The sequence below is a fragment of the Homo sapiens genome, chromosome 8, assembly GCF_000001405.40.
Source record: "Homo sapiens chromosome 8, GRCh38.p14 Primary Assembly".
NCBI classification, from domain to species: domain Eukaryota; kingdom Metazoa; phylum Chordata; class Mammalia; order Primates; family Hominidae; genus Homo; species Homo sapiens.
In genome coordinates this window covers 6767175-6775637 of record NC_000008.11, presented here as the reverse complement: position 1 = coordinate 6775637, position 8463 = coordinate 6767175, and the positions used below count along the sequence as shown (strand labels likewise).

General features: G+C 48.1%; 4 annotated features.

Annotated features, from left to right (window-relative positions):
* Window positions 1016–1516: an enhancer, noted in NCBI's record as "H3K4me1 hESC enhancer chr8:6631643-6632143 (GRCh37/hg19 assembly coordinates)". NCBI's record gives its function as "activates a minimal SCP1, AML or CMV promoter by ChIP-STARR-seq in naive H9 embryonic stem cells {active_cell/tissue: H9 hESC(naive)}" and the evidence as "EXISTENCE:reporter gene assay evidence [ECO:0000049][PMID:30033119]".
* Window positions 4279–4388: an enhancer, noted in NCBI's record as "active region_26960". NCBI's record gives its function as "activates an Ori minimal core promoter by ATAC-STARR-seq in GM12878 lymphoblastoid cells {active_cell/tissue: GM12878}" and the evidence as "EXISTENCE:reporter gene assay evidence [ECO:0000049][PMID:35858748]".
* Window positions 4499–4558: an enhancer, noted in NCBI's record as "active region_26959". NCBI's record gives its function as "activates an Ori minimal core promoter by ATAC-STARR-seq in GM12878 lymphoblastoid cells {active_cell/tissue: GM12878}" and the evidence as "EXISTENCE:reporter gene assay evidence [ECO:0000049][PMID:35858748]".
* Window positions 7954–8204: a silencer, noted in NCBI's record as "fragment chr8:6624955-6625205 (GRCh37/hg19 assembly coordinates)". NCBI's record gives its function as "represses an EF-1alpha promoter that drives an FKBP-Casp9 reporter gene in an ReSE screen in phorbol 12-myristate 13-acetate-treated (for megakaryocytic differentiation) K562 erythroleukemia cells {active_cell/tissue: K562(+PMA)}" and the evidence as "EXISTENCE:reporter gene assay evidence [ECO:0000049][PMID:32094911]".

The window sequence follows — 8463 nt, the reverse complement described above, 5'->3', positions numbered from 1 at the left end:
AAGTTACTGTTTCTATAGCTGGAAGGGAACGTGAGGGTGGTCTCCATCTACCCACTTTTTCGTAGATGAGAGATTCCGGCCCAGAGCGGCCGGTGTCTCGCCAACGCAGACAAAGATCGGGAGCAGAGCCACATTTCCAGCCGGTGGTGTTTCTCGATGCCTCCCTTTGGAGCTGCACCAAAGGCTCTGAGGCACGTGCAGAAAGCCCTGGTCTGGGGATTAAGCAAATAGATTTGGACTCTCCTATTCTTTCAGTAACTTTGAATCGATTATTTAATCTGTGATGTGTGAGCTTCCTTGGCCTCAGCTGTAAAATCAGGAGGAGTTTCTGTTTCACAGGGTTCTCGTAAGGAGCGGGCAGGATAACGACACCAAGTGCCGACACATGGCCAGGTGCACATGAGGCAGGACCCAGTGTGTGGTCGCTCCCTTTCCCCAAGCGGCCTCTCCTGCCCCACACCTGGACTCCTGCTAGACGCACACACCGCGCTCTTCCCAGCCATAGTGAGGCCTTTCCCTGGGTGTTGTCCCGGCCTGCAGTGACCCTTCCTGCTAGTTCATCTGTTTTCTAGAGCTCCGTAGACAATTACACCTATGCTCACATGGCAGCACTTCTAATGGTTAGGTCTGTGACCTTGGGCATCTTCTATCTGTTCTGGGATTTTGTTTCTTTTTCTGTGCAGTGGGAATAGTGACGCCAACTCTATACAATTGCGAGGGTTAAATAAGGCAGGTGGCAGGCTGGGGTGCAGTAGGCATTTGAGCTATGACCACTCATTGCTGTGGCTATTGCTGCTGCCTCAGGTCTGGTTTGAGACCTGTCTTCCGGTTTCTCTACGGAAGTGAGAAGCCGTGAGACACAGTGTGACCTGTGGCAGTTCTCTGGCCATTGTCCAGGCAGCGTGTGCACCTGTGTGCTGAGGGCTGGAATCATGGCTCAGGTGGCATGGGGCAGAGTCGGTGCTAGGGATATGGGTGGGGGCGCTAATCTGGGAATGTGAGGACATCAATACTCTGGGTCATAGCTTGCAGGATTAATTGTGGCTTGGAGGTCAGGCCCAAGGGGTGCTGCTGATGGCAGCCAGCATGTCGGCTTTCAAGAGTGTGGTCAGGAGTTTCTTAACCATCCAAAGATCTTCAGCCTGGGGAAGAGGCATCAGCATGTCCTTCCCTTTATTCAGGAAGACACCAAGCACATGCTGACCTTCGAAGGACAGTGATTTTGGCCAAGATCGCCCCTCCACAAGGACATAGACAAGGCCAGGACCTTAGAGTTAGAAAGAATTGAGTGTGCCTTGTAAATCCCCTTTCTCCCTTCCTCAAGTTTAATATAAATATCCAGCCATGGCAGGAAGACAGGCCAGCCCAGCCCAACTCAGCCCAGCCCAGGCAGCTGCTGCAAGAGATGACAAGCACCAGGACTGCCCCGGCCTCCCCAGAAGACAGGCTCCACGCTAGTGGCAGGGGCAGGCAGGGCTTGCAGGTGAGAGACAGGGGCAGCTGTGGGGGTTGGCAGCTCTCACTGCCGCTGCCCGGGCTGGGCTGGGTCGGGTTGGTCTGGGCATGTGCCAGCTGCCAGTGCCTGCTTATCTGTGACTCAGCTGCTACAGCATCAGGCACTGAAGTTGGTTCCTCATCATCAGTGAGCTGCTCCCACCGCCCCCAGGCCTGGTTGAGGCCTTGGGGACCTGCAGAGGACCCCATGCTGCCTCTAACCAGGTGAGCCCAGGGCCACGCTCTCATGCTCTCTAGCCTCAGCCTCCATATGGGAAAGTCTCTCTGCAGGTTCTCTCTGCTCCATGACTCAGGTCCTGTGAGACCAGGGAGTGGGCTGCCCGGACTCTGACTGGCCTCCAGGAGGTGGGGACAGGCTGTCCAGGCCCCCGCAGAGATCCCCGGGATGCTGCATCGGCCGTGAGTTTATGAGCTTGCCCCCAGAGAACATGACCTCACCTAAATGGAGCTGACACGTTTTACAGGGGACTGGAAGCACATCTGAAAGAGACCGTTCCACAGAGCTAGTTTTGCTTTTTTACTGCCCCATTAGAAGGAGTGGGGGTGTTTCTAGCTGGGACCGAGCTCCAGCTTGAAGGCAGTGGTTCCCAGTAGGGAATGCGACCCCACGGGGGAGGGACGCAGCCTGGGGGAAGCTGAGCGTGCACACAGCGCGGTGGGCTCACGGTTTGCGCGCAGGCTGGCACAGACTCACGTGAGGACATTTTTAGGGCGTGTGCGGCGATGAATGCAGCAGAGATGCGCTTGTCTGTAGGCTGGGAGTGGGAGGGAGGGGATACTGGCAGCGTGTGCTTCCGGCTGCAGGACTGTGCGGAGGACTCCAGTGTCTGACAGCGGCCTGGGCGTAGAGGGATTGAGTGTGGTTCCCACTGGGGTCCATCTCCCCTCGTGAAGTGCCGTCCTGCCACCAGGCAGCCCCCAGGGGTGGACAACACCAGAGCTCAGGGGCTTGAATGCTAAGGGCTTCCCGCTTGCTTTCCCCTTCACGCATGTAACCCTGAATTCTTACCTTTCACCCAGCGTGGATGAACGCAGGCGCTGCTCCTCATCTGCGGCTGTCCAGACAGGCTTTCAGGTCACGCTTAATGAGAAACCTCGGGTGTCTGATCTTGTCCGTTAGCTAGGCCTTTTCTCATCTTCTATGGTTTCAAAATAAAATACCAGGAGCTTCTTTTACCCCTGTGACTCTAGGCTACCCTTGTCATTTCAGTCTTTAGAGCTGGCTTTCTGCTTAGTGTGGCCTCAAGCATGTGGGGCAATAATAATATAAAGGTGAACAGCCAGGCGCAGCAGCTCACACCTGAAATCCCAGCACTTTGGGAGGCCAAGATGGTCGGCCTGCTTTAGGCCAGGAGTTCAAGACCAGCCTGGTCAACATGGTGAAACACCGTCTCTACAAAAAATGCAAAAATCAGCCAGGCATGGGGGGTGCGCCTGTCATCCTAACTACTCAGGAGGCTAAAGTGTGAGGATCGCTTGAGCCCAGGAAGTTAAGGCTGCAGTGAGCTGTGATCGCACCATTGCACTCCAGCCTAGGCCACAGAGCCAGAACCTGTCCCATATTACGTATATGTAAAGGGTGGACATCTGGGCTTTGCTGTCAGACAAATGAGAGTCGCTTCTGTCGCTTCCCTGTGGGGTGACCTGCGCCACTCCCTGGGCTTCCCTGAGCCTCTGGATCCTCAGCACTAACTGGGCCTAACAACTGAGGCTTGGCCAGGCACAGAGCCTCGTGCCCCATGTGTGAGGGCTTGGATGTGTGAGGCCGGAAAGGGCGGTGCTGGGCTGATTTCTCAGTCTCTCCCTCTCCATTCCCAGGGGTATAACTGCCAGAGGCAAAGGTGCCTGCTCCTAGCACCCCAGTCCTCCCCTACCGGCCCATGAGACCATGGAAGCAGAATAGAGTGCAGGTCTGTAAAATAGACCTTTCCCCCAAACCTGGACAGAAGTCATTTTCTCAATTTCTTTTTAACTCCTCCCACATCAGCCATTGGCTTTTCTAGCAAAAGCAAGAACATCCACCTCCCTAGGAAGTGGTTCGAGTTTATAGCCCCTAAAAAGACTTTAAGATTTGTGTTACGGGCCGGGTGCGGTGGCTCACACCTGTAATTCCAGCACTTTGGGAGGCTGAGGTGGGTGGATCGCATGAGGTCAGGAGTTCGAGACCAACCTGGCCAACATGACAAAACCCAGTCTCTACTAAAAATACAAAAAGTAGCTGTGTGTGGTGGCGGGAGCCTCTAATCCCAACTACTTGGGAGGCTGAGGCAGGAGAGTTGCTTAAACCTGGGATGCAGAGGTTGCAGTGAGCCAAGACCGTGACACTGCACTCCAGCCTGGGTGATGGAGCTAGATTCTGTTTCAAAAAAAAAAAAAATTGTGTTATGAAGATGGGAGAGGGCGTCTATGGAGCACCCGTTATGTGCTGGGCAGTTGTGCTCTGTCCTTGTACAACACTTCATTTAATCTGCACAGTCACCTGCAGCAAGTAAAGGATTACTGATTTCTCTGTTGCTGATTTCTCCTAACCACTACCATACCCTACGTAAATTCTCACAAGATTGTGTGCTGGTCTTTGCCCAGGGTGTCACACTGTTTGACTTAATCCCCACAACAACCTCTGCAAAGCAGGTTTTCCCCATCTTCAAATGTTTCTTGGGTGAGAAAACAGGTTCACTCAAGTTGGGGGAGCTGCCGCCAGTGACATCGAGTTCTCAGATTTAAGTTCTTCAGCCCATGGGGCACAGCTGCCTTCAGTTTTTGAAACCAGTGAAAAAAGCACCATGTGTCTTTCCTAAGTGACGTGGGGAGGACCCAGCACCCATCCATCCACTCTACCTCGCTGTTAAGGATCTCTACTCCTTTCAACCCTCAACCCCATCCCGTCCCCCACCCCATGGGAGGCCACAGGGGGAGAACTGGGGAAACCATGGCTCCCAGCACCGGAAGAGAAGGCTCTCTGCTCCCAGCCCCCACAGACACACTTCATTTCTCTTATGTGGCACCAAAGCAACAGTCAGGTGTCTCCTAGGACCCAGTTCTGCTTTTGGATGATGAGATTGTTATTATTTATTATTCAATATTATTATTTTTGAGATGGCATCTTGCTCTGTCGCCCAGGCTGCAGTGCAGTGGCGTGGTGGTCTCTGCTCACTGCAATCTCCGCCTCCCGAGTTCCACTGATTCTGCTGCCTCAGCCTCCCGGGTAGCTGGGATTACAGGTGTGCACCCCCACACCGGGCTAATTTTTGTATTTTTAGTAGAGACAGGGTTTCACCATGTTAGTCAGGCTGGTCTTGAACTCCTGACCTCAGGTGATCTGCCCACCTCGGCATCCCAAAGTGCTAGGATTCCAGGCGTGAGCCACCGTGCCTGGCTAATGATGAGATTTTTAAAAGGTAATAAGCATTCATGGTAGGGCATTGGGGGACCCCTATCTACTTCAAAGGGCTTTTGTGAGAATTAAAGTAGCATCTGGGTAGAGCAAGGCAGAGAACCTTGCACATTATCTATTGAATAGTGAATACTCACCAAATGATTGCTAATCTGTTTTTAATGCAGCTTTTATTTGAATGTGGGTATGGCTGATGCTCTGAGAATTTTGTCAACTGTAAAATATTAGGTTGGTGCAAAAGTAATTGGAGTTGTTGCCATTGGAAGTAATGACAAAACCCATAATTACTTTTGCACCAACCTAACACTTATTAAACAAGATTATATGAAGACCTATCACTGTCCCAGTCCAGGAGAGACAGATGGACATGGCATGAGATGCATGTAATGCTTTAATATGATTTCTAGAAAGTGTTCAGAAAGATTGTAATTGGGCATGTATGGAAATTATGGAACACAAAGGATATGCCATTTATCTCAAACTCAGCTGCCTCCAAATTAACTCTGAGGCCACAAGAGTTTGGTTAAAGATGTCATTGTGTGCTGGGTATATACCCAAAAGAAAGGAAATCAGTCTATCGAAGAAATACCTGCACTCCTATGTTTGCTGCAGCACTGTTCACAATAGCTAAGATTTGGAAGCAACCTAAATATTGCAGATGAAAGGTTAAAGAAAATGTGGTACGTATACATGGTGGAGTACTATTCAGCCATGAAAAATGAGATCCAGTCACTTGCAACAACGTGGATGAAACTGGATATCATTATGTTAAGTGCAATAAGCCAGGCACAGAAAGACAAACATCATATGTTCTCACTTATTTGTGGGATTTAAAAATTAAATTAAAACAATTGAACCCCTGGAGATAGAAGAAGGATGGTTACCAGAGTCTAGGAAGGGTAGATGGGGGTTGAATGGCAGGTGGGGAAGGTTAATGGGTATTAAAAAATAGAATGAATGAATAAGATCTACTATTTGATAGCATAATAGGGTGATTATACTCAATAATAACTTTAAATTTAAATTTTTTATTTAAAATTTAAAATTGGATTGTTTGTAACTCAAAGGATACAAACACTTATGGAGGTGGATACCCATTCTCCATGACATGATTGTTTCACATTACCTGCCTGTATCCAAACATCTCATGTACCCTGTAAATATATACATCTACTATGTGCCCAGAAGAATTTTTTAAAAAAGATGTCATTGTGTCACTGAGTACCTAGAGTCGGAAGTCAGCCACCAATAAAACACGAGGGATACTTCCAAGATGACCACCTAGATCCTGGGTTTAACACTGGAGATGGGCAGAGAGGCAATTCAGCATTGTCTGAAAAATTATTATCAACTGAAAGTCATATATATATATATATATACACACACACACACATGCATGCACAAACACATATATGAGATATACTTCAAATATATGAAATAAGATTTATTCTATATATACAGCTGACCATTGAACAACACGGGTTTGAACTGTGAAGGTCCACTAAGACATAGATTTTCTTCCTCCTCTGCCACTCCTGGAGAGAGCAAAACCAACCCCTCCCTCTTCCCTTTCCTCCTCAGCCAACTCAGCACAAAGGTGATGAGGAGGAAGACCGTTAATGATGATCCATTTCCACTTAATAGTAAATATATTGTCTCTTCCCTATGATTTTCTTAATAACGTTTTCCTTTTTCTACCTTTACTGTGAGAATACAGTGTGTAATACATGTAACATGCAAAATATGTCTTAAGCAACTATTTATGTCATTGGCTTCTGGAAAACGGTAGGCTATTAGTAGTTAAGTTTTTGGGGAGTCAAAAGTTTAATGAGGATTTTCAACTGCATGGGAGATTGGGCCTCCTAACCCTAGCATTGCACAAAGGTCAACTTTCTTTCTTTCTTTCTTTCCTTCTTTCTTTCTTTCTTTTTCTTTCTTTCTTTCTTTCTTTCTTTCTTTCTTTCTTTCTTTCTTTCTTTCTTTTTCTTTCTTTCTCTCTTTCTTTCTCTCTCTTTCTTTCTTTCTTTCCTTCCTTCCTTCCTTCCTTTCTTTTTTTCTCTCTCTCTCTTTCTTCTTTCTTTCTCTCTCTCTTCCTCCCTCCCTCCCTTCCTTCCTCCCTTCCTTCCTTCCTTCTTTCTTTTTTTTTTTGAGATGGAATTTCACTCTTGTTGCCCAGGCTGGAGTGCAATGGCACGATTTCGGCTCACTGCAAACTCCACCTCCTGGGTTCAAGTGATTCTCCTGCCTCAGCCTCCCAAGTATCTGGGATTACAGGCATGCGCCACCATGCCCAGCTAATTTTGTATTTTTAGTACAAACTGGGTTTCATGATGTTGGTCAGGCTGGTTTTGAACTCCTGACCTCAGGTGATCTGCCCGCCCTGGCCTCCCAAACTGCTGGGATTACAGGCGTGAGCCACCGTGCCTGGCCCAACTGTATTTCTTTTATACATAAATAAAATACTCCTTATAATAAAGTCACATGATGGTCACCCTTCTGTCTCTACCGCTTCCCACCTCTACACCTCCAGTGTTAGATATTTATATTTATGAAGTCATGATATTTCCTCTTGCTATAGTCATTGTGGTTTCCTCCTCTGTATGGTGAAGCCCACTGTGCTCAACTCCCTCTCTGAGGCTTCCTCCAAGTCTGTTCCCAGTTGTATCACTACACTGAACTATTTAGACATTTATCTTACACGTGACTATTATTCCTAACCTAAAGGGCCAAAACTATTTCCTAGATTACAAGAGCATTATTTTTTTTTTTAGACGGGGTCTCACCTGTTGCACAGGCTGAAGTGCAGTGGAGCAATCATAGCTCACAGCAACGTCGAACTCCTAGGCTCCAGTGATCCTCCCGCCTCAGCCTCAGGAGTAGCTATAAGTACACACCACCATGCCCAGCTAATTTCAAGAGCATTCTTTTAACAACACAGGGAGAATTATTTTTTTTTTCCTGTGCACATCTTGGAATTACCAACTGCGACATTGCTAAAGTAGCTCAGCTTGTTCTTTTGCTGTTGGCACACTTTAGGGTTTTGTTTGTTTGTTTGTTTGTTTTGCCGGAGACCGGAGTTTTATCGTTACTCAAATCAGTCTCCCTGACCATTTGGGGAGCAGAGTTTTTAAGAATAACTTGGTGAGTCGCGGGGAGCCAGTGATACAGGAGTGCTGATTGGTCAGAGATGAAATCCTAGGGAGTCGAGCTGTGTTCTTGCGCTGAGTCAGTTCCTCAGTGGGGGTCACAAGATCAGATGAGCCAGTTTGTTGATCTGGGTGGGGCCAGCTGACCCATCAAGTTCAAGGTCTGCAAAATATCTCAAGCATTGATCTTAGGAGCAGTTTAGGGAGGGTCAGACTCTTGTAGGGGTCCAGCTGCGTGACTCCTAAACCATAATTTCTAATCTTGTGGCTAAGTTAGTCCTACAAAGGCAATCTAGTCCCCAGGCAAGAAGGAGGTCTGCTTTGGGAAAGGGCTGTTACCATCTTTGTTTAAACTATAAACTAAGTTTCTACCAAAGTTAATTCAGCCTGGGCTCAGGAATGAACAAG